At 40.3% G+C, this 14,941-nt stretch overlaps 1 protein-coding gene across 3 annotated transcripts in view; it reads right to left on the reverse strand.

The window, feature by feature from the left end:
- The window catches only part of SMPX (small muscle protein X-linked), a 52,139-nt gene continuing 38,767 nt past the window's right edge, over positions 1,570-14,941 (reverse strand). For 2 of the 3 annotated variants that reach the window (NR_045617.2, NM_014332.3), the window contains one exon: positions 1,570-1,986. The gene's annotated coding sequence lies outside the window, so the exon portion shown is untranslated. Of the gene's footprint in view, positions 1,987-6,277; positions 6,291-14,941 lie in introns of those variants that run through there. The other variant, XM_047441939.1, reaches the window with a different exon arrangement.

The raw sequence follows: 14,941 nt of genomic DNA on the forward strand, positions 1-14,941 counted from the left end.
ACTAAAAACTGGGTATGGTACCTTATGCTTATTCACACCAGAGTTGTTTCTCTCCTAACGAATCTTCATCTATTTGTACTTTGTTTCTCCTTCATGGAAAAGTTGCATAATAATTGGTTGTTTATAAACCTATAAGATAAATAAGGCTGTTTCCGTGAGACATATGGGTTTTTAAAGAGCCACTTAGCATGTAATGTGTGAATTTTAAAAATTATAACTTCATTGAAAGCAAAGACTCTGTCTTTTCCTATATTATACTATATGTGCTATCTAATGAATGATAGAATGTGGAAGTTCCTAAATCCTATATATAGTGAATTTGAGCCTCAACAAAATATAATACATATTAAATTTAAAATTCAAAACATCCATTGAATTTGTCTAATGACTTTGGTATGTATTGTGCTGCAAATTTGCCTTGGAAGACATTAAAATTTGAAGACAATTTTTATAACATTATATCAGAACTTAATTTTGAAACTGAACATAGATAATTTACATTAAAACAAAGTGAACACTGAAGCAAATTTGGTAACCCCACCCAACTACTCTAATCAGTATAGAGTGAGACAGTCTGAGGCAATCTAGCGCCTATTTAGGACCTGTTTACCTCGTCTGCTGACAGATTATTAGGCTGGCATATTTTGTTCTGATTGATATTCCCCATGCCATATGTATATATTAGATGTAGATGACCAGATAAATCATAGTCTGGTGAAACACGTGGGACCTATGACCAGACAGGCACCTTTTCGGGAAAACTTAAACTCATCAGGCACTGCTGACTCTGTGGCCAGTCACAGGTGTAGGCAATGATAGCCCTGCTTTTGGAAGCTGATCTCTATGAAACAGAAAAGCGGGAGAGTAATTTACACTTGGGATATTTCAAAGTACATCTGATTTTTTACAATGGTTGGCTCTGAAGCAAGGATCAAAGTCACTCAGCCCGAGAAACGATGTGAGGTCTCTGCATACCAGGTAAGTGACATGCTTGCTTTTCAAACAGTGTGCTCTTGATAACCTTGTCCCTCAAATCTTCACACTGTGAAGTTGCCCGAGCCTTTCAGAAGATCATAAGATGCTAGAGGAGCCCAGGTGATTCTGTTTGGTCTATGATAGTGTTGGACATTGATTCAGTTGACATAGAGACTCTCCATTTTAGCAGCAGGAGACATGTTTCATCTTTGGATGGCTCTTCTCCTCTCTTGTTCTGTTTGCTCAGCTTTACTTCATTGTGCCTTATAATGAACTCTATTCCATCTGGGTGAGGGGAGTTTCTAACTTATAATGAACTGTATTCCATCTGGCCTCTGTAGATGTAAAATGCACTCACTGTAAAACTCCTCATCCTTGGAGGAAGAATATCAATGATATCCAATTCCTCAGGTGATATTTAACTTCATATGAGTGATCAGTCAGCCATGATTTTACCCATGGTACTCAATAATTCAGAATGAGAGGCCCCCACTTAGGCAATATGGGTTTCAGCTGACTCATATCTCATTTCTCTCCAGGTTTGGGGATATGTAGCTATCTGAAATATAAAAATTAATTTAGTCTAGATTCACATTTTACATTTAGTCAAATATTTATTTGAACTCATACAAAGTTTAGTGACATAATTTAAAAGGTGAAGAACTAAAACGCATTCCAAATATTGACCAAAATACTGTAGGAAGTAGCTTGGGAAACTTTTCATCAAAATCGTTAGGCACATTGCCATATCATTCTCCATAAAATCATATCCCTCCTCAAAACCACACCCTCCAGGTGTTGAATTTATGGGCTAATTTGTTCTGTGAGGTGCCAAAAATGAAGATAAAGTAAGAAATACAGCCAACTAGAAGGAAGAGATATAAATGTACAAACAGGCCATTTCTGCTAGAGTCTCAGGCATTCAGGAGGTTCACAATCATCATACAAATATATAAAATTTTAGTGAGCTATTGAATCCATCTTCTGCCTCTTTATTTCTTCACATCAATCCTGAAAAAGAAAAACCAAAGGAACCATGAGTTTTTTGCCTCCAGTGTCATTAAGGCATAATTGACAAATAAAAATGGTATATATTTACAGTATACAATGCAATGTTTTGATATATGCATACATACATTGTGAAATGATTAAGTCAACATAATTAGCATATCCATCACCTCACATACTTATTTTTGTGATGAGGACATTTAAGATCTCTTAGCAATTTTCAAGGATACATTATTAACTGTAGTCATGATGCTGTACAATAGATCCGATATGGTTTGGCTGTGTCCCCATCCAAAATCTCATCTTGAATTGTAATAATCCCCACATGTCAAGGGTGGGGCCAGATGGAGATAATTTCATCACGAGGGCGGTTCCCCCCATACTATTCTCATGATAGTGAGTGAGTTCTCATGAGATCTCATGATTTTATAATGGCTTTCCCCCGTTTTGCTCTGCACTTCTCTTTGCTGCTGCCATGTAAAGAAGGACGTGTTTGCTTCCCCTTCTGCCATGATTGTAAGTTTCTGAGGCCTTCCCAGCCCTGCAGAATTGTGAGTCAATTAAAACTCTTTCCTTTATAAGTTACCCAGTCTCAGACATTTCTTCATAGCAGCACGAGAACGGACTAATACGAGATCTCCAGAATATATTCCTCTTATGTATCTGAAATTCGGTCTATTCTTTAACCATCATCGCCCCATCCACATCACCCCCCACCCCAAGCCCCTGGCAACCACCATTTGACTCTCTGCCTCTATGAGTTTAATGTTTTTAGATGCCACATATAAGTAAGATCATGCCATATTTGTCTATGACTGTCTTATTTGACTTAGCATAATGTCCTCCAGGTTCATCATTAGTATAATTTTCATGAGATATGTTAGGGACAGCTTATAAATCAATATGATAGGAATAAGTCAACATTGAAGACCCCATTTTCACTTGAAAACTTCATCTCTCAATTCCATGAATGTAAATGAACTATGGGTAGATGCTGTGGCCATCAACTTTGGCTCTAGTGATTTAAGTAATTCTAAACTAAATTAAGATAGCTTCTCCTGAAGGATTAGAGTATATTGTTAGTCTTATGATTATGGCTTGTATGACCAGTGATCCCTGAGGTAAATTTGCATTCATGGCTCCTGTTCTTCACCTCTCCCTACTACCATGTAACTTTGTAGTTTTCTACCACTGTGGGTGGGGTATAATTCCTCATGCCTGAGTTTGGCCACACATCTTGCTTTGGCCAACAGAATGAGGCAGAAATGATGGTGTACCAGTTTTGAGCCTATGCCTCAAAAGGTATCACGTTTTTGCTTACTCTTGTATTTCTGCTGTTGCCATAACAAGGGTGTGGCCAGGTTAGCCTTCTGATCCCAGAAGAAGGACAAGAAATATGTGGAGCAGGGCCACCCCCGCTAAAGCACCCTAACCAGGCCCCATGTAGAGCAGAGCCCCCAGATGACCTGCAGACACATCAGTGAGTCCAGCCAAGATCAGCTGAGCCCAACCTATATCAGCTGAGGCCAAAACACATGAGTTAGAATAAGAAATGATCTTGTTTTAAACATTGAATTTGGGGTGTGATTTGGTATGCAGCAATAGCTAATTGATATGGTGCCACTTCTTTTCAAAGCTCTTGTAATGCAGGGATTCTTGAACACTATTTACACATTTGTTTTCCATTAGTCTTTGGTGTCATTCCTTGTGTGTTTTACTTATGTGAGTGAGCTGAATCTTTTCTTAAAAATGGAATGCTCACCTTTTGTATTGCCAATGGCTGGAGAAAGAAAACTACATACACAAGGATATTCCCCCTGCTGGGGCAGAAACTCTGGTTTGGCACCCTCCATAACCCTTGTTTTTCTCTACTACAAAGGCTGGTGAGTGAAATAATATACTCTATTTCTCAGTCTCTCTTACAGCTAGGGGGAGCCATGGGACCCAGTTCTGGCCATTGAATCCAGAGAAGTATATAGCAGAGATCTCTCTATAAGAAAGCTTCTCTTTCTTGTATATTTCTTTAGAGATCACAAAGCCCATAGTGTCATTGAACATTTCTAGCATTGCTGTGATGCAGGTTGTGTTGTACTCACTGTTGAGATGAAATACATAGAAGTTCAAAAATCAAAGTAGCTAGCTCAAAGTCTCATAGCTGGTAGATAGAAAAGCTGGGATTTTAACAGAGGTGTCCCGACTTTAGGGCTGTTTCTACTCCACTAACAAGGTATGGATGGTTTGTGAACCAGAGGAAAAGGTAGGAAGTTATTAATGATTGCAAAACTGAAAATGCTATCAAGAGCAGTCAGCATAGGTTCTTGTATTTCCCCAGCATTTTATCTTATTATCAAAAGAACACAATATGAGATTTACTCTCTTAATACATTTTAAGTGTATAATACATTATTGTTGACCATAAGTACAATGTTGTACAGCAATGTTGTACAACTACCACTTCACTCTTTGATTCTATGTGTTTAACTACTTTAGCCACCTCATATAAGTGGAATCATGCAGTATTTGTCCTTGTGTGACTGACTTATTTTACTTTGCATACTGTCCTCAAAGTTTATCCATGTTGTCACATATTGCAGAGTTTCCTTCTTATTCCAGGATAAAAATTCCAGTGTGTGTGTTACCACATTTTCTTTATTCATACATCTACCAATGGACGTTTAGGTTGTTTACTAATTTTTTTAAGAAATTATCAATTTTCAGTCCATGCCAGTCACAAAGTGGAAGTAAGATACCACTTCCTTCCCAGCCCATGGTTTCTGAGTGACCAGCAATTTCACAGCTTCATCCTGGGGTATCAGGATCCAGGCTCATCTCTGGTCATTCTCCCTCAAGTATCCTATATTCTGAGTTCACTAGACCACTTTTTGCTCCTGTAATGACAAGAGCCTTTGGGCCTCGCCTCTTTGGTTATAACTTTTAAATCCAACCTCCCCATGATTCTCCATGTAACATGCTGAATTGTGATTATTTGCTTATATGCATCATCTCACTCCTCATGTTTCCCACTATAGCTGCCCTGCCACTAGGCTAGGATCTTTTAAGGATATAAATATGTCCTATTCATTTTTACATCCCATTGCCTATCATGGCACCTGACACATAGCAGGGGTCCAGTGATTGATGAGTTGGACTACTGGAGAAATGAAAATAGGAAAAGAACTGGAGTTGCAGTTATAGCCAAACCCACATTCTTCAATGTGAGTCAGCAGTAATGAGTGAAGGCTCATAGATGCAGAAATCCAGGAGTGTTGGGTTGATGTGCTATGTCTCCACTATGCTGCCAATTCTGCCCTAGGTCCCAGCTCTAGCCCCATGATGGCCAGGGTATGCTGTAGCCACTTTACTGCTATGGTCACTGTGCTGGATGACATATGGCCAGTCTCTCTGGCTAAGTAAGAGGCCCATGACAAGCTTCCCTTGAAGCTGAGGTATTCCTTGGGCTTCTCTGAGCAGCATGGAATGGGTGATGATCCATAGGAAATTGTAACTGAAGCATGTTTTATGAGGTGTGATTTCTCTCCAAGATGTGTCCAGACTGAGAAGCACCATCTGCAACCCAGAAATGGGTACCATTTATATGGCAGACTTGATATGGACTCTGATAATCCTTTATCTGTCCCAGATAGATAGGTGAAATTATGGCTATACTGAGAAACATAGGATGAGCCATTTGCATTGGAGAGTCATAAGATGTCCTTCACGACTGGGTTCAGCTTATAGGCCTCTCTGACTTTGAGACAGTTTTATAAACATAGAGAACTAATGAATGGATAAAGAAAATGTGGTATATATACCCCATGAAATACTACTCATCTATAAAAAGGAATGAAATAATGTCTTTTGCAGCAACTTGGATGGAGCTGAAGGTCATTATTCTAAGTGAAGTAACACAGGAGTGGAAAACAAAAAATTGTATGTTCTCATAAGTGAAGCTAAACTATGAGTATGCAAAGGTATACAGAGTGATATAATGGACTTTAGAGCCTCAGAAGGGGAAGGGTGGGAGAGGAGCTAGGGATAAAAACAACATATTAGGTACAATGGACACTACTCAGGTGACGGGGGCACTAAAATCTCAGAATTCATCACTATACAATTCATCTGTGTTACAAAAAATCCACTTGTACCCCAAAAGCTATGAAAATAAAATTTTTTTTAAAAACAGAGAAATCTTGATCCAGTTTTCCCAGACCACCACGACCACTGTGAGATGACCATATTTAGGAAAATAAATGCATGGAATTCTTAACATAACATTAGCCCCAGGGGAACTGTGCTCTTCCTCTTTACTTACTGCAGCTGAGAGCCAAGGGAGGCCTGAATACAACTGTGAAGAGGGGGAAGCTGGGCCAGTGCTATCAACCTGTGCTCATGTGGGAGTGGAGAAACAGCTGATGGTGGCAGTACCAGTTTTGAGCACCTACTACGTGCCAGGAACTCCACCAACTGATTACACAGCTACCTTGTTCAGCCTACAAAATAAACCTGATTCTTCTTTGCAGAAGGAGCCAGGCATGAGGTGGCAGATGAAGCAGGAGCCATTGCAGGTGTCCTCCTGCAGATCACCCTGTCCCTCAGCTTCCCCCACTCCCGGGTCCCGGTAGAATTCAAGAAGGCCCAACATGCCTGGAAACAGGAATGCACTGATGGATAACGTCAGATATAGTCCATCCCAGAGTACAAAGTCCCCAGACGGCCAGAGTCTCCATCCTTGGCTTTGTGGGACTCAGCATGTGCTCGGGATGCTGGCATGATACCAGAATACAAAAATTCGGGAATCCAGATACCTGAGCTCCCTGCTCTGTGTCAGGGCTTGAATTTAGAAATGAGAAACAATGGGAAGGGATCCAGAGCTAAAATTGCCCACTCTGTAAAGCACTCTTGTTTGTCAGGGTGTTGGAATGCAAGTGTATTGGGCTGTCTCCAGGGCCACGCTGCTTTGCTGCCTAGACAACAGCTGTCAGCTATTCTCCTGTGCCCTGTTCTCCTGTATGGGGACATTTGTGAGAATGATGGGGAAGGTATGGCAACCAGCTGAAAAGTCATTCTCTAGCTACCCCACGTAACTTTTATACCCAGACCAAAAATGACATGGAAGCAAAACCTCTAGTTTACATTTGGGAAGGGCACATCTTGGCTGGTGTGGGGATGATACACCAAATATCTCCCTTGTGTCACCCTAAGTCCAGACTGAGGAACATGTGATGTTTACGCCTTGCTGTGACCCATTTATAGCTGTGTAACTCATAGTTGCCGTGGCCCCACTTACATCATGTGGGAAATGGAGTCCACTCAACACTTGTCTGCATTTTGTCCTTTAACCAGACACTCAGGGGCAGTGCAATGATTACTTCCTCCTATGTGGTGCTAAATCATAGAGCCATAAACACAGTGACACTCGAAAGTACTTGAGAGAAGGCAGTGGCTCATGGTCTGGTTCCATATGCAATGGCCAACCATGCACCCAGAGCAAACTGGTTAAAGCTCTGGAGTTCCTTAGAGGGCATCAGAAATAAGACAAACGCCTGGCATTTGTAAAGTCTTCTAGAGTTTACAGAGCACATTCACACATATTGTCCCTTTTACTCATCAGGACCACACCCTAAGGAAGGTGGTGCAAGCTACAACTAAGGCTTGTAAGGAACAACACACACCCAAGCTCAGAGAGGCGCTCAGCCTAGAATTGCACCCAAACAACTCCAAACCCAAAACTCTTTCTTTTTTCCCAAACAGATACTTGTAAAGTCAGAGAAACAAAACTCTAAGTAAAAATTAGGAACATTTTTTCCTAAATTGTGAAACATCCACCAAAGTTGCCTTTGCAACTCATGAAGCCTTCGGTGGTTAAAATGAAAATTGAAATCCTTCTAACAATAATTATATAAAAACGGAAGAAGAGGAAGACATAAAGACCAGAACATTTGCCTTGGTCAAATCCTGCACCTGAAATCCAGATTAAAGTAGCGTTAAGTGCAGGACCGGGATAATTCGAGTGACCATAAGGAAAAGGCAAATTGCATATCCAGGTTGAATCTCATTAAAATATTTTTTATTAATCCTATTGTATTGAGAGTTTGTTATATTGGATATCAACTCAGAGTTAGGGGCTGGCAACTGAGATACATTTGTTTGGTGAGATCTTGGTGGGGAAAGGGGCATCATCAAAGACCAGTCACCACAGGCAGCTCCAGATTTTGTGGGAAATTTCTCTTCATCCATCAGAACCCAGTCCTCCCTGTCTCTAAAGGGGCCACCGACTTCATTGGAGAAATATTGACCCAAGATTTCCCTACCAAGGCAGAGTTCAATAACATCTAGAAGTAGACAAAGTGATAAATAAGTCAAGGAGACTGCTGTCTTAACCAAGAGGTTCTCAGCTTTTCCAAAGATGACAACATCTTTCTATATTGTTTATGCCTTGGCATTCAAGGCATAGAGACAATGGTGATTGTATCAGAAGTACCAAGAATCCTCCTACAACTGTCCAGCAATGATCTGTGGCAGCCAGGGGTTCTGGAGCAACCAAATGGAAAACTAATTTTTTTGGCATTTAACTAACAGAACATGTGAAACAAATGTAGGCCTCCCTGCCTTCTTCCCATAATGCATACCTGGAAAGCACATTGTCATAGTGATCACCTTAAAGCTGATTGATTGATTGTTTTCACAGTCACAATGATGGTAATGAGTGGTCCAAAGACTCAGTAGTCAGATAAAAGGATGGCCTTTGATGTATTATGAGGCAAAGATATGACTATAAGGCTTTATAATCTTTTAAAATAGTAAAACTTTTTCAAAGACGAATGGAACTAGAGTTTTGGTATTGCTCCTCATTTTAGAAATTAGGAAATTCAGATCCAGAGGGGTTGAGTCACTTGTCCAGGATCACACAGCTAGCTATCGGCTGATCCAGGATGAGGTTTGGAGCTCTTTCTGCTACACTAAATTCTTTTGCAAAACTTGTAAAATTAGCATACATGTATTAGTCTGTTCTCACACTGCTAATAAAGACATACTCAAGACTGTGTAATTTATAAAGAAAAAGAGGTTTGATGGACTCACAGTTCCACATGGCTGGGGAGGCCTCACAATCATGGTGGAAGGCAAAGGAGGAGCAAAGTCATGTCTTACATGGCATCAAGCAAGCAAGAGAGAGCATGTGCAGGGGAACTCCCCTTTATCAAACCATGAGATCTCATGAGACTTATTCACTATCACGAGAACAACATGAGAAAGACCCGCCCCCATGATTCGATTATCTCCCACTGGGTCCCTCCCATGACACATGTGAATTATGGGAGCTACAATTCAAGATTTGGGTAGGGACACAACCAAACCATATCAATAAGTAATCTGTACACATTGACAGTACATTAGAGGCACACATTAACAACTGATACACAGAAATATACCTGTAGTGTACCAAAAAGTTTACTTAACAAATATTCATGCATTTGTTCTAATGAACACCAAAATTTCACTTAAAAATATGTCTTGCCTTCTCAGAATCTAGCAGTGTTTCTAAAAATACTTTATATAGAGTAAAATGCACAAATCTTAAGTGAACTTGATGAATTTTTTTACCATGTATATATCCATGTAAGGCCTTTATTTTTACATAGCTCTTAAATACTACTGTATAAACCAACAAATCCACAGGGTTTTGTTCATTTGAGAAATACTAGTTTCAAGAGATAATAAAACAAGTTTTCCTTTGAAAAGAAAGGGAGAGGAAAAGGGGGGAAAAGGAAACCATCAATCATGAGATAAGTTGAGAAATACTGGGTTAAGCAAAGATAAACCACCTTCTTAGTTTAAGGGCTCCTTGGAACTTTAAATATACAAATATATAGTGTGTGTGTTAGGTGTGGGGACCAGGACCATTGTATCATTTTCAAAATTTACTCAATCATTGAAGCATTTTTCCAGTTTTATACTGTATAAATTATTTATCATTCATTATATCACAAATAGTATCCATAGTATTTCATCAGGTGGCTGCACCAGAGTTTGCTTAATTGGAATCCTATTATTGGACATTTAGGTTCTTAATCAATTTTGCTACCATAAATGAACACAACCTTTTCCATGTGAACATTTTCTTTAGAATGGACTTCCATCAAGACACAACTGGGTTGGAAGAGATACAAATCCACAGTGACTGGGAATTTCTCCATTTATTAACCCCCCCACCCTCATCATTTATACTGCTGTGTGCCTGCTATACAGAAGATACTTAATATTTTTTGAGATTGTGCATATGTCTTTTTCACGATCACTTTCCTATTCATCTTTGTGGATTTTCTTAAACGAAAATCAGTAACTGTTTTCTTGAACATTCCTTTGATTTCTACTGAAGCTGCATATTTTCTTAGGCTTCTCTACCAATTATACATCCACTTTTGTGAATTGTGAGTTCATTTCCTTTGTCTATTAAGGTGTTAGCATTTTGCTTTCCAATTTACATGGGCTCTTTACATAATTATACATTTCATGCAAAACAATTTTCTTGATAGAGTTTGCTATTTAATGTTTGTTTGTTTGTTTTTTCAAGTACCTTTTTTTTAATTATTGAGAATTTGAGGGATGATTTTGATGGCTCTTCTTTAAAAAGCTGCCGGGGGAAGTTTAAATCAATGCCTTCATTTTTTCCTCTAAATCATTCCAACTATTATTTTAAAAGCTACTTATATCCAAATCTTACCTTTTGAAGCTATCATCAAATGATTTAATTTTATAATGTTAAAAGAGATAAGAGGTCAAATAAAGAAGGATGTTTATGGAAAGGAAGAAAGCATAATTGATTTGGAGATTTGAGATCTTGTTTATAGGCTGTTGTAACTCACTCTGCTCTGTGTGTGTGTGTGTGTGTGTGTGTGTGTGTGTGTGTGTGTGCGCGCACGCGCGCGCGCTCGCGCGCTGGTGGGGGGTTAAACCACCTAGAATGGGTGTTCAAACGTGGCTGCACATTAAATCTCCTGGAGGGAGTTTTTTTAACCATCCCAAAGCCCAGGCTGCCCCAAACCAATTACATCAGAGTCTCTGGAAGTGCGATCAGTAATTTGTAAAGCTCCCCAGGTCTCTGATGTGCAGACAAGATTGAGAACCACAGCCTAGGAGGGCTTCTCAGTATTTAACATCCATATGAATCCCTGGGGATCCTGTTAAACTGCAGATTCTGACTCAGGAGGTCTGGGGAGAGGCCTGAGACCACATATATCTAGTAACTACCCAGGGGATGCTGTTGCTATTGGTCCATGGACCACTTGAAAATGAAGTTTCTAAACTAGTAGTTTTCAATAGAGGGAGAGAATGATTTTTGCCCCCCACCCCGTGGTGGGCATTTGGCACTATGTGAAGACATTTTTTGGTTATTACAATCAGGAAGGAGAGGGTACTACTGGCATTTGGTGAGTAGAGGCCAGGGATGCTGCTAACTATCCTAGAATGCCCAGAACGGCCCCAGTAACAGAGTTGCCTGGCCCAATTGTCAATAGTGCTGAGGTGGAAAAAAACAAATGCTGGTTTAGAGACAGCTGTTTCTGATGAAAGAAAATGATCTCAAACCTGAGCTAGAACAGAGCTTTGTGCACTGGTGTGTTAAGTGGTCCCTTCTGGGAAGTATTGCTGATAAAACATATTAGTAATTTTCTAATCAACTTCAATGAGATTAAGAGCCCCTTCTGGGAGATCTGATATACCTGCCTCACTAAAGTCACCTTGTAACAGAGTTTACTGATCACTTATACCTCGTCTCACAGTGTTATCTAACCACATGTTTTCCTATTCCAAGTTTTAGAACTGGATTTTTGAAGCCTCTTTAAGCAACTTTGAAATAAAGCTTTGACATGTGTTTCCAATCAATTCATCAGAGAAATTGCTTTTACACCCTTTGCCTTGCCAGTCTCCAGGCTGGTTCCAAGGTGGGACCCTGTCTCTGCAATCAACAAATGTTTCCTGAGTGTCCACTGTGGAGACATTTTCACAGCCCACTCTGCCTTCAAACCCAGCTTTCCTGCTTTCCACTTATGCTACCTTGGGCAACTTACCCAACAACGTGAACCCCAGTGTTCCTAAGGATAGGGAAATAATATTGTCAAATTCACAGGGTGGTTGGGAGGATAACATGGTAAAGCATTTAGCAGAGTGCCTCTGACATAGTCAACATATACTATTACTATTATTCAGGGACAAAGATCCACAAAAAGCTTATAAATTAAAACATCCCTTCCTCCTTTTCTATCTTCCAAACAAGATTCAATCTTTGTCATCTTGGCTTCAAGCTCTTTGTGGTGCTGATGGTCGGGGAGATCTAAATATGCAGAGAGGGAACTGAAAAAAGTGAACTGAGTCTAAATTACATGGAAAAGGGGCTTGGGGACTCAGTGGAAAATAGGATTTCTTGGAAAGAAAGAAGAGAGATTTGAGGTAAAACGTCTCTAGGATGAGGGAATCTTGGGCCAATGAGAAGATTTTTAGGTAGTTTTACTGTGTTTTACAATGTAAATCTTTTTTTCTTTTTTATTTTATTTGTATAAATTTAAGGAGTACAAATGCAGTTTTGTCACATGGATACATTGCATAGAAGTGAAGTCTGTGCTTTTAGTGTAACCATCACCAAAAGAGTGTACGCTGTACCTGTTTACAATATAAATCTTTCTTAGGTGAAGATTTACATTCCTTCTGGGGGCTGATATGGTTTGGCTGTGCCCCCACCCAAATCTCATCTTGAATTGTAGTTCCCATAATCCCCACATGTCGTGGGAGGGACCTGGTGGGAGGTAATTTAATCATGGGAATGGTTATCCTCATGCTGTTCTCGTGAGAGTGAGTTCTCATGAGATCTGATAGTTTTATAAGGGGCTTTTCCCCCTTTTGCTTGACACTTCTCCTTCCTGCATCATGTGAAGAAGGATGTGTTTGCTTGCCCTTCCACCATAATTGAAAGTTTCCTGAGGCCATCCCAGCCATGCTGAACTGTGAGTCAAACCTCTTTCCTTTATAAATTACCCAGTCTCAAATATGTCTTTATTAACAGCGTAAGAACAGACTAATACAGGGGCCATTTTTAGAAATCAATGTATGTTTCTTTTGGACACAGCTCTGTGCTTAAATATGCTTAAATGGTCTTAAAAGTGGAAAGCAGAATTCCTAGTTTTATATGGCCTACATTATATGCTAGAAAATGTATTAGGCACTGTGGATACACTAGTGGACAAGTCAGACAAGTTATCCCCCTTCATGGAACTTAAGATCTAGAAGGAAAATCAGACAGAATAAACAATGGCAATCCAGTCCTCCATTGTGATGGGTGCTGCTATCCTGGGACAAACACAGGAAGCCATGGATGCTTTGCCCAGTTTAAGAGGCAACAGAAAAGTTTTTCAAAAATAGTATTTAACTGAGACTTGAATGATGGGTAGGAGTTAGCCAGATAATGAATACGGGAGGGAACAAAGATCAAAAAATAATATTCTGAGCATGTGTAAAGGCCTAGAATCAGCATGGCGCCTCCATCAGCTGGCAGAGGTTCACTAGGATTGGAGCGAGGAATGTCCTGCACAGGCAGAAATGCAAGATGAAAAAAGCCTGCCAAGTCTGAGACAGTTAACACAGGCCCGAAGGGTCATGGGGAGCCGCTGAAGGATATGCAGCAGGGCAGTGACCCGATCCATTTTGTGGGGTTTGGTTTTGTATTTTTTGAAAGATCCGCTGATTGCAGGGCTCTGGCAACTGAAAACAAGTGAGAAAAGGCTTTGAGTAGTGAAGTGCACAGGTCACTTTGACAGCTGTGGGCCATTAATGCTCCAATTGTTCAGCGAGGTCACCTGTGTGACAGCAACAAGAATACATAGTGGATGAATGAAGTTTGCAAACCTTATTTCAAGGTGAAAAGAGGGGTCAAACATATGAGAAGATCATAGCACTTGTCCAATGGCTCATGCCTGAGGATTGAGAAGGGAGTCCCTTGTCCATTAGCAAAGGCCCAGGGGCTCCTCACTGAAGCATTTCAGTTCCAGATCTCAAACTTCCATCGAGGGCTGAGGAAAATTCCCACAGGTTACACAAACATTACTTTGAGCAGTAAATCCAAGACAACCTGCAAGTGACCACATACTGTTGGGCAAGCAGTGGGAACTCATACTGAGCTCTCTTCTGGCAATTTGCAGTATTTTCTGGGCTGTGAGGAATTTGAGCTTAAATAAAGCAGAAATGGGCAGTCTCTCGGATCCCCTGGCTTAATTTATTGAACAGGGGAAATAAGCCTTGTGAGGGAGACAGTTCCATTCCTAATGATTTAACCATAAATAAAGCCCTGCTATAAATGGAACTGAGGAGAGAAGGTAGCTTGTCAGAGGGCAGAGGAGTGGGCCCCATTAGACAAAATAGGTCAGGCGGGGAGAAAGTTGTCATCTCCTGACTAGTTAAGCTGAGCAGACATGACAAGCCTTGTCGTTTTTGAACGGATTGAAAAAGGATAGCGAATATACAAGAGGTTGCTTTCTTTTTGTTTCATTTCATAGATGACTATTTCAAAGAGGATCCTGAAAAGGAACTTGATAATATTTAGCACAGTTTTGAGTTGTGCACTTTAAAACGTGTGTGTATGTTGGCCTGAGTGTGTGTGTGTTTTTAGAAACATAAGTTTTCACAGAAAAAAATTATGTGCTTCTCCTAGGAAGTTACTTGGGATTCATTCACTTTCATCTGAGATTAATGGAACTCCAACTCCTGAGGAGAGTTTTCCCTCCCGTTAGTTGGATTGTTCGTAATATCCTGTGCTTTTTTCTTGTTGTTCTGGGTTTGATCCTCAGAAATCAAAAGAGAGGCCGGGCGCAGTGGCTCACGCCTGTAATCCCAGCACTTTGGGATCCAAGGCAGGCAGATCACCTGAGGCCAGGAGTTCGAGACCAGCATGGCCAACATGGTGAAACCCCAT

This window comes from Homo sapiens, chromosome X, assembly GCF_000001405.40.
Source record: "Homo sapiens chromosome X, GRCh38.p14 Primary Assembly".
In the NCBI taxonomy this organism is placed as follows: Eukaryota; Metazoa; Chordata; class Mammalia; order Primates; family Hominidae; genus Homo; species Homo sapiens.